Here is a 16,003-nt window from a genome sequence, read left to right as displayed (position 1 = left end):
GTTCTAGATCTGCTTTTCCAGACCCTCCAGGCACTAGCTCGCTGGTTTAATTCGCTAAAAGCTGTGCCTGTCCCAGCCCCACCCCTCCCTGTGCCCACCCAGCCCTGCCCTCACCAGGGGTCCTGGCTCAAACTGCAGGGCCACGTGCTGCAGGAGGGCCATGAGGTGGGCTGGGCGCCGCTTCACCTGCTCCAGGCTCTGGAACTGGCTGTTTTGCTCTTCTGAGTTCTGGGGGTGCAGGAAGGGGTGAGTACAATGGGGAGAAGAGGAGGGGCCTTAGGGTTGACCCTACCCATTCCTGGCACTTCACAAGGGATCCAAGCCAGGGTTAGCTCCTGGGAAGTGGGGAGTGGTGACAGTGTCCAAAAAATGATGGTGACAGCAAGGGCAGGTGTTCAGGGAGAATGGATGAGACTTAATATTATAATGGTGGATGATGAGGACAGAAATTAGGAGAGAAGAAATTGGGGTCCATGCTGGGGGAGGAGAGAGCAACGATAAGAAATGGGGTTAAGAGTAAGAAGGGTGGGCGTCTATGCTGCTGTGTGGGGTCGGCGAGGTGAGGAAGGAGGTACCAGGGAGATGAGAGGATGAGACAGACCGTGGGAAAAGGCCAAGAAGACAGCATCTGCAGGTGGGAGGGGACCTGGGGCGGGACACTGAGCCTGGGACAGAGCTTTTCCACCCTATCTCCCACTCACTGTCTCCAGCTCGTTCTCAAAATCCTCATCCTCAGCCCCGATGATGCTGACGGGAACCAGGCCAGGCCGGGAGGGGCCTGGGGAGGCCTGTGGAAAGGGAGGGCAGCTTCAGTCCACAGGACTCTCCACCCACAGCCCCAGAGTCGCCTCACCCCTTGCTCTGTCCACTCACCGCCCCTCGGGCGAAGTCTTCCATCTCCCTGGGCTCTGCAGGGCTGGAGGAAGAGGAGGGGCTGTGGTTAGGAGGGTGGGAGGAGGCGGCCCAGGGTGGTTACTCACAGATTCCTGGCCCAGGTGTGAAGGTGAGTAAACAGCCTCCCCCATCCCAGCCTCCGCAGCTCAATGGGGCCTCTGTGTGGCCACAAAGAGCCCTTCAGAGACCCGCCAGGGGGCGGGAGCCCAGGGACGGGAGCCTTGCGGGGGCAGGCGTTGGAGGCTCAGGAGCCTGGGTCCATGGGAAGGCTGAGTCTGACAGCCTGCAATCTGGGGTCCCTAATGCCCTAATGGAAGAGGGGGCTGGGGGCCTGGACTCCCAGGTTGGAGGGACCAGGGGCCTGGGGGCTAATTCCTGAGGGCACAGCCCAGAGGCAAGAGGGGATGGGAGGGTTAGAGGAGAGGCGGGAGAGAAGTGGGGTGCAGGGGTCTCCTCTGGTCTGTGACAGGCCTGGGACAGGATGTTGCCTTGGAACCCACCAGCCCCACTTCCTGTGACAGGAAGTCACAATGGCAAACCCCCAACCCCCAACTCTCCACATAAGAAAACAAAACTCAGAACCCTCCTCCCTCAGGGACTGGGAGTCCCCAAACCCAGAAGTTCTTCTTTCCCCCAGGGACCTCATCTCTTCCCAGGCTTCCAGTCCCAGAAACCAAGTGATGGGGCCTCAGACAGCCCATCTCCAAGGTGCGTCTGTCCCCTCCACCCTACGTGCGCCTTGGTCTGTCCGCAGCCAGCTCTCCTTGGCTGTCTGTCCCTTGAATCTGTCTCATGTCTTGGTCTCTTTTCACCCTGTTTCCTGATTTTTCTCTTTCCCTTCCTCCAGAACTGTCTCATTTTCCCCACCATCCCTGCCTCTCCTCCCTCCATCTCTCCCTCTCAGCGGTGACACCCCCTTCCTGCTTCTGTAGCTCCGTCTGTCCTGTCCCTGTCTCTGTGCCTCTGTCCTCCCACATCTGGTTTCTGCAGCCACCATCCTCACACCTCTCTGAGTCACAGTCTCATGTGCTGTCTCTCATCTCTCCATCCCTTTTTCTCCCCCATCTCTTGCTGTCTCTCCCATCTTTGTCTCTCCTTGAGTCTCCACTTCTCTCTGAGTCTTTCCACCGACATCTTCTGTGTCCTTAATTAGTCTGACTAATGCCACGGAGCCCGTGTCAGGTGGGAAGGAGCTGTGGAAAGAGGGGTGGGGTGGACCAGCGGCGGGGCTCCCCACAGCCCAAAGCTATTTATAACCCAAGCCAGCAGAGACCCGCCCTTCTCCTGCTTTATGGGCCTCCTCCCTAGCTCCCCAGTAAATGGTAACCAGGATTTTGATGATTAAACAATGATGCTTTCTGGAGTGTCCAAATGCCACCCTGTGGGTCCACCTGGGGAAGGCATCATTTTTATTATTTCCCACAAAGTGTATTGTCCAATATCTAAGCTTGGGCAATTCAAGATTCAAGTACTGTTAAACATTCACTTTAATAAATTTGCAAACTGGCCAGGTGAGGTGGTTCATGCCTGTAACCCCAGCACTTTGGGAGGCCAAGGTGGGAAGATCGCTTGAGCTCAGGAGTTTGAGACCAGCCTGGGGAACACAGTGAGACCCTGTCTCACTATGAAACATGACCACGGACGTGGAGGGTGCATGCTCATCCCACTCAGAGGTAGAAACGCTCAACTGAGGCAGGGAAATTTTAAAAAGGCAAAGGAGGGGATACTCATTATCTTTGCAAGTGCTTGGTGCCAGGTCTGGAACTGTGCACTTGCCAAGTTCTTATCTCCTTATTCCTTATCACAATAATAATGAAATGACAGCTGACACAAAAGAGACACTTAGTATGTGCCAGGCATGGCATCGCTGGTTGACAGGTAATAACTCATTTAATCCTCTCGGTGACTCCAAGAGATCATTATTATTCTCACCTCCATTTAACAAAGAAGGAAACTGAGGCACAGCTCATAAGAGGCAGAACCAGGACTCAGACCTGGGCAGTTGGGCTACAGAGTTTACGCATTTAAAATAAACTGCATTTGGTGGACACAGTGGCTCACACCTGTAATCCCAGCACTTTGGGAGACCAAGGCAGGTGGATCACTTGAGCTCAGGAGTTCGAGACCAGCCTGGCTAACATGGTGAAACCCCCATCTCTACAAAAGATAGCCAGGTGTGGTGGTTCATGCCTGTAGTCATAGCTACTTGGGAGGCTAAGATGAGAGGATCGCCTGAGCCCAGGAGGCAGAGGTTGCAGTGAGCCAAAATTGTGCCACTGCCCTCCAGCCTGGGCGACAGAGTGAGACCTTGTCTTAAAATAAAATAGGCTAGGCACGGTGGCTCTCGCCTGTAATCCCAGCACTTTGGGAGACCAAGGCGGGCGGATCACGAAGTCAAGAGATCGACACCATCCTGGCCAACATAGTGAAACCCTGTCTCTACTAAAAATACCAAAATTAGCTGGGCGTGGTGGCACGAGCCTGTAGTCCCAGCTACTCGGGAGGCTGAGGCAGGAGAATCGCTTGAATCCGGGAGGCGGAGGTTGCAGTGAGCTGAGATCGCGCCACTGCACTCCAGCCTGGTAACAGAAGTGAGACTTCGTCTCAAAAATAAATAAATAAATAAATAAAACAAAATAAAACAGAGAGCATTGCTTCAGAGCATGGGGAGCCCCCACCCTACCCTTCAGAAACTAAAATCTGAACCAAAGCTCTGAGACACATCATGTCTTCTTATGGATGCCTGGAAAAGTCACGGGTATGTGGTCACTATGGCCTAGGCAGGAGTGCAAGTTGGATACGGCTGCTCCACAGAGGCTTGGGGGTTGGAGATGATGGAGGCGAGGAGTGTCGCCTGTTTAGGAGGAGGGGTTTGGGGGAGTCCCACAAAGGCTGGAGAATTATAGGTGAAGCTGTCAGAGAATAGATGGATCTATAGGCAACTGACAAGGCCTGGGGGGTCCAGCAGAGGGAACACTGCGTGCATGGGGCGCTGGGGGGTTAGGGCTGGTTTAGAAGGTCCATGGGTTGGGGGGCCACATGGGTGTTGAGTTCTATGGAGGTCTCAGGGTCTATAATGTGTTGAGCAGGTGACTCAGGGTCTCCAAGAACTTCTGGAGCCTTAAAGAACCTAAAAGAGTCGTTGGAATGTGTAACTCCCCAGATTCTATTTGACACACAGTGGGTCTAAAGGATCCAGGGATCATACAGGATCATGATTCTATAGGGACAGCTGCCAGTCTGTGGAACCTCTGGAGACTTAAAAGGGACTCAGAATTCCATAGGGGTGCGTGGTGGGTCCCGAGACCCATGGTCTATAGAGCCCCGGATTCTAGGGGATGCCACTGGTCTATGAGGACCCCACGTCTATAAGAAGCCAGTTCTCCATGGGGGGCTGGCAGGAACCTGGAGGGTCTGTAAGACTTTATACGGAATGAGGCGGGTCTACACGAGACCCAAATCTTACATGGACGTGGCGGGTCTTACGCGGGCCCTAAATCCTACGGGGGACGTGGCAGTGTGCACGGCCAGGGATGCCGGGGAGGACGTGCAGAGTCAGGGTCTGACACCCGCTGGGGACCGCGTCCCTCACCTGCTCCAGGTGGAAAGAGAAGCCATCGCCGCCACCGGAACCGAAGCCTCCGCGCTCGGGCTCCGCACTCTCCCCACCCCTGCCGCCGCGTCGCTCTAGCCGCCCTGAGTCCACCTTTGCGCCCAGCTCCACTCCTCCTGCCAGCCGCTCTAGCCCGGCTCCTGCCGGGCTCCGGCCCCGACGACTCTACTCCTCCCGCCGGCCGCTCTAGCGCTGTACTGCGCCACGCAGGCCAGATAGGGCCGCTCTGGCCTGTCTTGGAGGGCCAGCGTTTCCGTATCTCGACTGCCCCCGTCACTCCCCGGGCCCCGCCCCGCGCCCGGAGGTGCAGATGGGTCCAACTCCTCCCGAGTTCGATCGGAGATCTCCTAGTCACCCCAGCGCTGAGCACTCGGACGGCGGACTGGGGCTCCCCGTCCTATTAGTCTCCCCACTTAGGGGACCCGCTGAATTTCCAATCCTCGTACATCAATCCCCTCCGTCTCCCACCCCCAGCCCCTTCCTTTGGAACCGGAAAAGCAATAGTCTTGAGTTCCAGCACAACTTTCCCTCTGACATGCAGTGTAATCTGCAAAAAGTAATGACTTCTCTGTAGACCTCAGTCTTCCCATCCGTACAATGGGAGAAGGCCTCCAGCTCTCTCCCTACACCTGTCTCTCACGGTATAATTAATGACCTAGAAAAGAGCTTTCCGAAAACTCTTTCAAATGCACTCTGCAACTTTCAGCTTCACAGCGACCCTCGTCGTTGTTGTTATTGTTGTTTTTCATTTTTAGGTGGCCCTAAAGCATGCGGGGGTTGGAGGATGGCGCTTTGCGGAAAGCACGTGCGAGTTCAAATCCCAACTCCACACTTTCTCACGATGTGCGTTCCCTGGGACGAGTCGGTTTGGCTCCCCGGGCCTCGGTTTCCCCACCCGTACAATGGTAGTGATCGTCCGTTCTCCACTGAGCAGGTGGGAGGCCTTGGCCCCGGCCTCGCACCGTTCGTCCCCACCTATGGGGCACTCGTCAAGTGTGAGTTCTCCCCTCTTTGCTCCCTTTGACAGATGGGAAAACTGAGGCCCAAGGAGGGGCGGCCGCTGGTTCCGTGGGGTCCGAAGGGGGCCCCTCCGCTGCCGGCAGCGCCCCAGCCCCTCCCTCCTCCTCCCCACTTCCCCCAACAGCCGAGGGGAGGAGGCCGGGCGGGGCCGGGGACCGAGTACCTGGTGTCCGCGCGGAGGTGACCGGCGGGGCGCCCGAGGTCGGGCTCGGCGATCCCGGGCCCTGGGTCCCGGCTCCCGCTTCCTGGCTCTGGCGGGGCAGGAAGTCGGGGCGTTTTTCCGGAGGCCCCCGCCCCGCCGCCCCTCCCCGCTTCCTGCCCGCGCCCCGCGCCCGCCCGGCACCTCCGCTTCCTTCCCCTTCTCGCCGCTTGCCCGCCCCTCCTTTCCCCGCTGCGCCCGGGTCCCTGCGGGCACCGGCCCCCGCCCCGGCCGCGCCCGAGCTCTCCCCGGCTTTGTCCATCGGTCCGTCCGCCGGGCGCGGGCTCCGCGGGACTCGCATCTCCCGGCTGGGGTCACCTCCCCGGAGGTGCTGGGGGGCAAGCCCTGCTCCCCGTGCGCCCTAGACCGAGCCACGACCTCCCCGGCTTTCCGCGTCTGTGGTTCTCATGGTCTTGCGCCCTTCCTTCGCCTCTGTGGGTGTGCTCCCGCCTGCGTCTGCATCCCCTTCTCTGTCCCTCTGTCTTTCTCTACTGGGGTCTTTCCCTCCTTGGCCTCCACCTCTCCTCTCTGTCCCTCCATCACTTTCTCCCCGAAAGCCCTTCTCTACCCTCTCCAGCTCTCTCTGTATCTTTCTGCATCTCCGTCTCAGTCTCTGTCATTTCCCCAGCTGTTGCTGTGCCTGGGCCTCTTCGTGCCCATTTTCGGTTGCCCCTTCTCCCTTCTGTCTCTTCCTTTCCTTCTCGCTCTCTCTCTGTCCCTTTCTCTCCACGTCCCTGTCTCTCTCCCGGATTCCCAGGGTCTCATCATCTCTTCCTTCCCTTGCTCGTCCCCTTCATGATCCCTGGGTCTCAGCCTCTCTCCTCTCCCTTTCTCAGGAAATCCGTGTCTCTGTGCCTCTCTGTCATTGCCCCGGGATCTCCCTGCTATCCCCAGGTTAGGACCACAGACCCTCCAAAATGCCCCTTCTGTAAGTCAACGCATCGGGAAAAGGCTGCAGTCTGAATTCTGTACTAGCCCCAATCCACAAGATAGTCCCTGTGTTTCCAAGGCTTAAATACGCATAAAGTGGCTCATGCCTGTAATCCCAGCACTTTGGGAGGCCGAAGCATGGTGGATCACTTGAGGTCAGGAGTTCGAGACCAGCCCGGCCAACATGGCGAAACCCTGTCTCTACTAAAACAAAAATTAGCTGGGTGTGGTAGCACATGCCTGTCATCCCAGCTACTCGGGAGCCTGAGGTACAAGAATCGCTTGAGGTGGAGGTTGAAGTGGGCTGAGATTGCGCCACTGCACTCCAGCCTGGGCGACAGAGTCAGACTCTGCCTCAAAAAAAAAAAAAAAAAAAAAAAAAGCGGCCGGGCGTGGTGGCAGGCGCCTGTAATCCCAGCACTTTGGGAGGCCAAGGTAGGTGGATCACCTGAGGTCAGAGGTTCAAGACCAGTCTGGCCAACATGGTGAAACCCCGCCTCTACTAAAAATACAAAAATTAGCTGGGCATGGTGGCAGGCGCCTGTAATCCCAGCTACTTGGGAGGCTGAGGCAGGAGAATCGCTTGAACCCAGGAGGCAGAGGTTGCAGTGAGCACTCCAACCTGGGCAACAGAGTGAGACTCTGTCTCAAAAAAAAAAAAAAAAAAAAAAGTGTAAGTAATTTGGTAGCCACAGCCATCTTGATCTTGTCCCCTTCTTGCTTAAGGATATGACCCTAGGGTGAGGCCCTGCAAAGAGGGCCAAACCAGTCCTTCAGTTGGTCTGGGGACCTTCCCAAGAGACATCTTGTTCTCCCAGGAGGGCAGCCCAGACTGGCTACCTGGTCCCAGGTGTGGGGAGTGGGCAGGGAGTGGCTTGGGCTGGGACTCCTGGGTCTGAGGGACATGTGGGAGAGGCGGTTCCCGTAAGATCCACGACTCCTGCCAAGGTCTGCAGTTGGGAAGAATTTATTATCACTAAGTGGCCCTGACAGATCAGGGAGGAGGGGGTGACACTAACGAGGCTGCTACAATCAGCTCCCCTAGAGGCAGCGATTAAGGGCTCATTACCCGCTGGGGTGAGGGGAGCCTGGGAAAGGCAGCGGGGCGGGGGGATTAGGTTAGGAGGTGGGGCAGTTTAGAGGGAAGAAGAGTGGGACACCCCCAGGGGAGTCCAAGGAGGCCTGGCCTGGAGAAGAGTGAGGTTACCCTCCCACCCCCCACTGGGGGAATATGACTAAGGAAGCCCCCAGAAGGGCTGAAAGGAGAATGTCCCAGGGAAGTGAGCTGAGACACTGGAGCTGGGTGCACAGCAGGCGGGGGCAGCCTGGCAGGAGTAGGGGTGTCACGGCTTCTCCAGCTGGACATCTCCTATGTTGAGGCTGCCCACATCCTGGTAGGTGCCCTGGAGGCCCCGGGAGATGTCCTCATACATGGAGCAGTCGTCCAGGTTCAGGCCCTGGGATGGAAATGAGGCAGCGAACATCAGCACCCTGACACCTGGGGTCCCTGCCCCCAGCCACCCCCAGAGGGAACACCCCCACCCCTAACACAACTGCCCCTACCCCATCCCCACCCTTCACTCACTTCATAAAGGTTTTCATCTTCATATTCATCCCCGGCATCCAACCCGAGCTTCTCGTTCTGCCATCGTTTCTGTAGGGGTGGGTGGGGTGGGTGCCTCAGTGAGCAGGGGGAGGTGAATATCTTTCAGACCCTCCTGGATGCCAGGAAGTACTTTTCCAGAAAGGGTAAGAGATGTCCCCAAGGCCACATACTGGTTATGTAACAGTTCTCTCTGAGTCTACAACCAGTGTTCTCCTTCCTTCCTTCCTTCCTTCCTTCCTTCCTTCCTTCCTTCCTTCCTTCCTTCCCTTCCCTTCCTTCCCTCCCTCCCTCTCGCCCTCTCTCTCTCTCTCTCTCTCTCTCTCTCTTTCTCTCTCTCTCTCTTTCTTCTCCCTCAGTTGCCCAGGCTGAAGTGCTGTGGCAACATCATATTTCACTGCAGCCTTGAACTCCTGGGCTCAAGCAATCCTCCCACCTCAGCCTCCTGAGTAGCTGGGACTATAGGTGTGTGCCACCATGCCTGGCTAATTTTTTTTTAAGACTTTGTGTGTGTAGAGATAGGGTCTTGCTGTGTTGCCCAGGCTGGTCTCAAACTTGTGGCCTCAAGTGATCCTCTTGCCTCGGCCTCCCAAGCTAGCGTCTTCTTGAGTCTCCACTCCCTTACTATTCTCCATGAATAATAACAATAACAGTCACACTTTCTGTAGTGCCTAAGGAGAGGCTGGTACAGATCAGAGATTCTGGGAGGACCAGGCCCCACCTTCCCTGGTCTTGGCTACACCTGGAGGGTAACCACACTCCTGGGTGAGGGCAGGAGGGGAGTGAGGACACTCTTAGGGAGAAGAATGAGACTCTTCTTGGGGGGAGGTGGACGTGAGGACAGCCCAGAAGGGGAAACTAAATTGAAGACACCCCCTGGGCTCAGCGCCAGTTCAAGTCCCTTCTTTATATTCATTCATTTAACTCCCACAGCCCCTATATGGTGGGTGCTTTCATTCTCCCAAGTTTTGGATGGGGAACCTCAGGCTCTAGAGGGCTACCTGGGTATTGGGGGTCCCTCGGCCCAGGCCCTCGCCCGGCTGACTCAGAGGTCCGAGGGGGCTCACCCTGAACAGCAGCAGCGTCCCAGGCACCACCGCGCAGAACAGGAGGATGATCCCCTCGGCTGTGATGATTCGGTTCTTGGTGCCCTCCCCCATGTCCAGGAAGGGCCTGGGGGGCGGCTCTGCAAGGAGGTAGTATGGCTCAGAGCCCTGGCCCCTCTTGCCCTCCCTAGCCTCCTGGCCCCGCCCACCTCCTGCAAGGCCCCAGACCCCCCAGAGACCCCACTCTGCAGAGGAGAATGTCCGTCCCTCTGTCCAAGCCGGTTTGAAACCCACATTGAAGGTACTGGCTCTATCCCCACTTCAAAGATAAACCGAGTGTCCCCAGCGGGACAGTGGGAGTAGGGGCCAGGGCTGGGCCACTCACGGCGCACGCGGAGGTAGGTGCCGCAGGACTGCTGGTATGACTCGTTGCCCTCCTGGACCCGGCACACGTATATGCCCCCATGGCTCTTGTTCACATTCTGGATGATCAGCGTACCATTGGGGTCCTCGCCCGGGCCCAAGAACTCAGGGGGCCACGTGTAGTTGCCATGGAGGACGCGCCACCAGGTGACGTTGGCGTTGTTGCTGCTATTGTGCGGGCATTGGAAGTGGGCGTCTTCCCCCAGGCTCACCATCAATGATGCTGGGACCTTGTGCATCCACAGGGCCTGGCACCCAGGGCCTGTGGAGAGACAGGGTGGGTGGGTCAGGGACTGGGGATGGTGACACATTTCCCCAGCCCTGGCCCCTGCAGTTCCAGCACTCCTGGGAAGAGGGTGAGGACTCTCCTGGGTGGGGAGGGAGAGAGAGAGCCCCTGACAGGGGCTGATACATCCTGGGGAGAGGGGGGATGCGGGAAAGTGAAGAAGCCCCTGGGAAGGAGAGAGGACATACCTGGTTGGGGTGGGTGAGGATATCCTGGGAGAGGAGAATGAGACTCCCTGGGATGGTAAGACCCCTGGGAGGCCCTTCTCACCTCTGCAGCGCCATCTCTTGCCCCCCTCCCGCATACCCACTTTGTACTCTGGCCCTGTGAACTCTCTGGATTTTGGATGTTTGTTCCAGGCACTGGAGGACCGCTGTCCAGACAGCTCCTTCCAGAAGCAGTGCAGGCGTCCCCTCCTCCCGCAGCCTTCCCGGTCCATTTTTGCACCCCAGCCTCAGCCAGGCCCAGCACCTGGCGCTTTTTCTTGTGTAATCATTCACAGAACCCTAGAAGTAGGTTCTCTCCTTAGCCCCATTTTACAGGAGGGATGGCTGAGGCTCTGGGAGGGCAGGCGGGTTGCCAGCATCACCAGGCAGTCAGGAGTGGCACTGGGTTCAAACTCTTGGCTCCCTGGCCTCTCCCTGCCTGGGCTGAGGAGCCAGTCTGTGGCCTGCCCTGGCCTGTGACCCTGTGCCTGGCCCTCATTCTCTGTAAGTTGTATGTGTCAACCTAGGGGTCAGGGGTGAGTTCAGTCCTTGGGCTGGGCTGCTGGTGATTGAAGGGGCTCAGAGCGGGGTGGAGACTGGGGGTGTCTCTGAGTGAGACGAGGCGGCTCAGGCTGGCTGCAGTGTCCAATCCGGGCTCCTCTGGGAAGCCCCAGCTCTCAGCCAGGCCTCCCACATGGCCAGTCCCCTCTTCTGGAGGTAGGTGGAGGAGGGAGGTGAGGAAGAGAGAAGGAGGAAGAGATGGGGAGAGGGGCCGAGCACCCTCATCGTCACGGGCTTAAGACTCAGACGTGAACTCCAATCCTTGCTCCCAGTGTCCCCTTGGGTGGGGAACCTTTTTCTCTGAACTCCTGGGTTAGCGTGGCCACAGCCCCTGCCAGCTGTCCTTGAGCAGGTGAGGGGGAGTCCATGAGACACCCATTCCCCCAGTGCTGAGAAGGGACTCCCAACAGAGAGAGGCACCTGAGGTTTAAGGCAGAGAAAGCTTTTTCTCCCCTTGACAGACGCTGAATGCTGCTACCCCTAAGTCCCCTTCCTGCCCCCAGCCCTGGTGCTCAGTCAAGAGCAACTTTAGTTCCTTATTTTGGCCTGTGGGGAACAGGAGGTGGGGGAGGTGACTCTTGCTCCTGCCTCCCTGTGTGAGACTGTGGACGCCCCTTCTCCTTCGCTGGGCTCCCTCCAGCCCCACCTTGGCCCATCTTGGCACAGATACGATTTCTATAGGCATCTTCCCTGGGTCCCCTATCCTCTGCCTCCTCTTCCCCTTTCCCTGAGCCCCCTTCCCTCTGCCTGTGCCCTCTCTGCAGCCTCCACAGCTTCCCCCACCTCCCGCCAGTTCCTGCCCTTTGGCCACATACCCAGGTAGACAGCAGACAGCAGGAAGAGGAGGAAGATGGTGGCAGGCAGAGCTTGGAGGACTCCTGGACCCCCAGGCATCTTCTCCCAGTGGGTTGGTTAGTTTGAGTTGCAGCAGTCCCAGGGTACCAGATCCCTACCCCAAACCCCACCCTACTTCCTGCCCAGCCCCCCGGAGATGGGCTCCAGTGGCCCTCGCTACTGGGCCCTTTGCTTGTTGGGCCTGGGGACAGCCCCTGCCGGGTATGCTTCAGGCTGTGAGTGGAGAGAAACTGCTCCCTGCACCTGTGGTGGCCACAATTCCCCTGAGAGGTGGCTGCTTGGGTGGGGGAAGAGGCTGGTTCAAGGGCTGGCTCGTCACTGCTGAGCCTTTGGAAGGAAGCCTAGGGAACCTGAGTCCTGGGCATGTGTCATGGGCAGGTGATGGTTCTGAGCTTGACCTCTCCCCCTGCCTGGACTTGGGCAAACCTTGTCCCTTCCCTGACCCCATTTCCTTGCTTCTTGGGATTAGAAACAAGGACTTAAAGGGGTTGTCACATGCACAGAAATGGCCCACAGTAGGCGCCCAGTAAATGTTAGTCACTATAAATACTCATGAAGAATAAATAAGGCAGGCTGACCTGTGGCTGACTACCCGTGTGACTAGGTGGGCACTTTGATCCTTCGAAGCTTGACATTTTTCATCTGTGAGATGAGGACCAGAATGTCTCCCTGTCTCATTATGTGATACGAGATGGTGTTCCTGGTATTCAAGGAGTGAGAACCATGATCAGCTCTTTACTGGAATTCTTTTTTTAAAAAAACAGGCCAGCTATGGTGGCTTATGCCTGTAATCCCAGCCCTTTGGGAGGCTGAGACAGGAGAATCACCTGAGGTCGAGTTTGAGACCAGCCTGGCCAACATGGCGAAACCCCATCTCTACTAAAAATACAAAATTAGCCAGATGTTGTGGCACATGCCTATTATTCCAGCTACTCAGGAGGCTGAGGCAGGAGAATCAGTTGAACCCAGGAGGTGGAGGTTGCAGTGAGCTGAGATCACACCATTGCACTCCAGCCTGGGTGACAAAAGCGAAACTCTGTCTCTAATAATAACAATAATAACAACAACAACATATATTTTTCTTCTTTTTTTTTTTTAAGAGGGATGGGATCTTGCTATATTGCCCAGGCTGGTCTTGAACTCCTGGCCTCAAGCAATCCTCCTGCCTCAGCTTCCCAAAGTGCTGGGATTACAGGCATGTGCCACTGTGCACAGCCAGAAGTTGTTTTATATTGACCTGCCATGACTGGCAAGGTAGGCCATCCCCCATTTTACAGAGGGGGAAACCGAGGCCAGAGAGGGGAGGTTGTCACTTGCGGGTGTCATACAGTCTAGGGGTGGTGGACAGAGATTCAAAGTCATCTTTGTGTTGCTCCCAGTTTCCTTTGAGCATGTCTGGTAGGAGGGAAATGAGGTCTGAGTGGGGAGGGCGGAGTTGCTGAGATATTTGTGAGCAGTTAGGGGACCCTCACACACATACAAGGGGATATATAAAATAAATTTATTGCAGGGAGATTTTTGGTAGCAAACATTGAGAAGCAAATGAAAAGTCCATTTGTGGGAGAATGGGTGCATACACTGTGGCAAAGTGAGCCAACAGAATGCTACAGAATAGGGGAAGGTGTCATAAGGCTGTCTCAGAAACAGCACAAACATCAGAAAAAATATCGTAGCATGATACAGTTGACTTGTTTTCAAAAGGCGTCCGCTGCTTAGGGACACACGTTTGTAGCAGAGGTGTAGACCCGTGCAGGGGAGTGGCAAACGCCCAGTTCCTGGGAGGGGTTACCTCTGGGGGACGCCAGGGTTGGGTCTGGGGAGGGACACACAGAGACACAGAGAGCTCATCTTGTCTTGGTTTTATTTCCTGTGTTACTTTTTTTTTTTTTTTTTTTGAGACGGAGTCTCGCTTTGTCACCCAGGCTGAAGTGCAGTGGCGTGATCTTGGCTCACTGCAACCTCTGCCTCCCAGGTTCAAGTGATTCTCCTGCCTCAGCCTCCTCAGTAGCTGGGATTACAGGCGGCCACCACCATGCCTGGCTATATTTTTGTATTTTTAGTAGAGACCAGGTTTCACCATGTTGGGCAGGCTGGTCTCACACTCCTGACCTCAGGTAATCCACCCACCTCAGCCTCCCAAAGTGCTGGGATTACAGGCGGGAGCCACCGTGGCTGGCCACTTTTTTTTTTTTCTTTTTTAGAGATAGGGCCTCTCTCTGTCACCAAGGCTGGTGTCCAGTGGCATAATCATAACGTCAAACTCCTGGGCTCAAGTGATTCTCTTGCCTCAGCTTCCCAAGTAGCTGGGATTACAGGTGCACACACCATGCCTGGCTATTTTTAATTTTTTTTTTCTTTTGAGACAGAGTCTCGCTGTGTAGCCCAGGCTGGAGTGCGATGGTGTGATCTTGGCTCACTGCAACCTCCGCCTCCCGGGTTCAAGTGATTCTCCTGCCTCAGCCTCCTGAGTAGCTGGGACTACAAGCAGATGCCACCATGACCGGCTAATTTTTTGTATTTTTTTAGTAGAGATGGGGTTTCACCGTGTTAGCCAGGATGGTCTCAATCTCCTGACCTGATGATCCACTCGCCTCGGCCTCCCAAAGTGCTGGGATTACAGGCATGATCCACCGCACTGGGCCTATTTTTTAAATTTTTTGTAAAGACAGGGTCTCACTGTGTTGCCCAGGCTGGCCTGGAAGTCCTGACCTCAAGTGATTCTCCCAGCTTGGCCTCCCGAAGTGCTGGGATTATAGGCACTGCACCCTGCCCTGCCTGTGTTACTTAAACTGGGTTGTGCTTCATAGGTTTTTCTTACATTATGAATACTGAATGCTAAATACTTGCATGCCTGAAGTATTTCAGATTTTTTTTTTTGAGATGGAGTCTTGCTCTGTTGCCCAGGCTGAAGTGCAGTGGCGGCACAATCTTGGCTCACTGCAGCCTCCGCCTCCTGGGTTCAAGCTGTTCTCCTGTCTCAGCCTCCCAAGTAGCTGGAATTACAGGTGTGCACCACCATGCCCAGCCAATTTTTTTTTTCATAGACACAGGGTTTCACCATGTTGGCCAGGCTGGTCTCAAACTCTTTTTTTTTTTTTTTTTTGAGACGGTGTTTCACTCTTGTCGCCCAGACTGGAGTACAATGGTGCAATCTTGGCTCACTGTGACCTCCACTTCCTGCATTCAAGCGATTCTCCTGCCTCCACGTCCAGCTAATTTTTGTATTTTTTAGTAGAGACAGGGTTCCATCATGTTGGCCAGGCTGGTCTCGAACTTCTGACCTCAGGTGATCCACCTGCCTCGGCCTCTCCAAGTGTTGGGATTACAGGTGTGAGCCACCACTCCAGGCCAAGGTCTCAAACTCTTGACCTCAAGTGATCTGCCCACCTCTGCCTCCTAGAGTGCAGAATTTTAAAAAAGTGCAATTGCCAGCTGGGCGCGGTGGCTCACGCCTGTAATCCCAACACTTTGGGAGGCTGAGGCGGGCGGATCAGAAGGTCAGGAGATCAAAACCATCCTGGCTAACACAGTGAAACCCCGTCTCTACTAAAAATACAAAAATTAGCCGGGCATGGCGGCGTGTGCCTGTAGTCCCAGCTGCTGGGGAGGCTGAGGCAGAATGGCGTGAACCCAGGAGATGGGAAAAGGGCAATTCCCATCCACGCAGAAGAGCCTGGGCCTCAAGAGTCCAGGATTCTTTTACAACTCAGCTCTGCCAACTGACTGGTCATCTGAAACTCAGTTTTTTCTCCTATAACATGGGTACAAACCCCCCACTTGATAAGACTGCAAGAATATTCTGCAGTGCATTTGGCACAGTATCTAGGACAGTTCTGTAGCCCTGGGAACCAGGACCCCAGGTGTTCTGCTGGGGTCACTAGCCCCTCTGCACTTCAATTCCCCGTTACAACCCCCTCCCAGGAATAAGCCTGGCTCCAGACCTGGAAGCCCTAGGAATTCACCTTCAAGAGCCTTCGGTGGCTGAGCTTCTTTCTAGGCCCTCTACTGCTCCCCAGTGGCTGGAGCGGCGCGGCTGCGGGATTGCAGGCCTGCTCGGGACACCTAGACCTTGCTTCCTACCTGGGAAGCGCAATGCCTGCTGCTGTGCAAACCGGACGCTTGGCATTGAGTTCTCATGTCAGCTCTGGGAAATGTTTTCATTAATGGCCAAAAGAGGAAACTAGAGCCCAGAATGGGGAGTGACTGGCCTGCAGCTAGAGTGCAACCCTTTGGGCCTCTTTTCTGAGGCACAGAGCCCTTGGAGTGGCTAGGTCCAGGCTGCAGCTGGGTTGCTTGGGTTCATATGATGGCTCCAGCTGTGGGATATCTGGCAAGTTACCCAGCCTATGGCTTACTTTACCTACCTC

General features: G+C 55.9%; 2 protein-coding genes across 17 annotated transcripts in view, besides 9 other annotated features; both read right to left on the bottom strand.

The window, feature by feature from the left end:
• The window catches only part of ARHGEF1 (Rho guanine nucleotide exchange factor 1), a 46,958-nt gene extending 41,162 nt beyond the window's left edge, over nt 1-5,796 (bottom strand). For 8 of the 15 annotated variants that reach the window (NR_173093.1, NM_001396003.1, NM_001396002.1 and 5 more), the window contains exons 1-4: nt 5,691-5,796; nt 874-916; nt 702-788; nt 115-228 (exon numbers count right to left, since the gene is read on the bottom strand). Coding sequence is in view for 13 of the 15 variants with exons in the window: in NM_001396003.1 (NP_001382932.1) it covers nt 115-228; nt 702-788; nt 874-897 (225 nt within the window). In the remaining 2 variants the exon portion in view is untranslated. Of the gene's footprint in view, nt 1-114; nt 229-701; nt 789-873; nt 917-4,486 lie in introns of all 15 variants that reach the window. The other 7 variants (NR_173092.1, XM_047439662.1, XM_047439664.1 and 4 more) reach the window with 2 other exon arrangements.
• Nucleotides 1,324-1,373: an enhancer, noted in NCBI's record as "active region_14690". NCBI's record gives its function as "activates an Ori minimal core promoter by ATAC-STARR-seq in GM12878 lymphoblastoid cells {active_cell/tissue: GM12878}" and the evidence as "EXISTENCE:reporter gene assay evidence [ECO:0000049][PMID:35858748]".
• Nucleotides 1,414-1,473: an enhancer, noted in NCBI's record as "active region_14689". NCBI's record gives its function as "activates an Ori minimal core promoter by ATAC-STARR-seq in GM12878 lymphoblastoid cells {active_cell/tissue: GM12878}" and the evidence as "EXISTENCE:reporter gene assay evidence [ECO:0000049][PMID:35858748]".
• Nucleotides 4,512-4,721: an enhancer, noted in NCBI's record as "active region_14688". NCBI's record gives its function as "activates an Ori minimal core promoter by ATAC-STARR-seq in GM12878 lymphoblastoid cells {active_cell/tissue: GM12878}" and the evidence as "EXISTENCE:reporter gene assay evidence [ECO:0000049][PMID:35858748]".
• Nucleotides 4,512-4,737: a biological region, named in NCBI's record as "ReSE screen-validated silencer GRCh37_chr19:42388310-42388459".
• Nucleotides 4,588-4,737: a silencer, noted in NCBI's record as "fragment chr19:42388310-42388459 (GRCh37/hg19 assembly coordinates)". NCBI's record gives its function as "represses an EF-1alpha promoter that drives an FKBP-Casp9 reporter gene in an ReSE screen in K562 erythroleukemia cells {active_cell/tissue: K562}" and the evidence as "EXISTENCE:reporter gene assay evidence [ECO:0000049][PMID:32094911]".
• Nucleotides 5,602-6,111: a silencer, noted in NCBI's record as "silent region_10675". NCBI's record gives its function as "represses an Ori minimal core promoter by ATAC-STARR-seq in GM12878 lymphoblastoid cells {active_cell/tissue: GM12878}" and the evidence as "EXISTENCE:reporter gene assay evidence [ECO:0000049][PMID:35858748]".
• CD79A (CD79a molecule) lies at nt 7,608-11,701 on the bottom strand. 2 transcript variants are annotated; one of them, NM_001783.4, is made up of 5 exons: nt 11,597-11,701; nt 9,691-9,990; nt 9,327-9,445; nt 8,242-8,310; nt 7,608-8,113 (listed from the first exon to the last, which is right to left on the bottom strand). In NM_001783.4, exons 1-5 carry the CDS (start codon nt 11,673-11,675, stop codon nt 8,000-8,002), a joined length of 681 nt encoding a protein of 226 aa, NP_001774.1. In that variant the 5' UTR covers nt 11,676-11,701; the 3' UTR covers nt 7,608-7,999. The 2 variants fall into 2 exon arrangements, with proteins under 2 accessions (NP_001774.1, NP_067612.1); NM_021601.4 differs by having other exon boundaries at nt 9,805-9,990.
• Nucleotides 11,500-11,559: a silencer, noted in NCBI's record as "silent region_10674". NCBI's record gives its function as "represses an Ori minimal core promoter by ATAC-STARR-seq in GM12878 lymphoblastoid cells {active_cell/tissue: GM12878}" and the evidence as "EXISTENCE:reporter gene assay evidence [ECO:0000049][PMID:35858748]".
• Nucleotides 12,967-13,036: an enhancer, noted in NCBI's record as "active region_14687". NCBI's record gives its function as "activates an Ori minimal core promoter by ATAC-STARR-seq in GM12878 lymphoblastoid cells {active_cell/tissue: GM12878}" and the evidence as "EXISTENCE:reporter gene assay evidence [ECO:0000049][PMID:35858748]".
• Nucleotides 15,372-15,621: an enhancer, noted in NCBI's record as "active region_14686". NCBI's record gives its function as "activates an Ori minimal core promoter by ATAC-STARR-seq in GM12878 lymphoblastoid cells {active_cell/tissue: GM12878}" and the evidence as "EXISTENCE:reporter gene assay evidence [ECO:0000049][PMID:35858748]".

This window comes from Homo sapiens, chromosome 19 (genome assembly GCF_000001405.40).
Source record: "Homo sapiens chromosome 19, GRCh38.p14 Primary Assembly".
Classification (NCBI taxonomy): Eukaryota; Metazoa; Chordata; class Mammalia; order Primates; family Hominidae; genus Homo; species Homo sapiens.
This window is presented reverse-complemented; position numbering and strand designations above follow the sequence as displayed.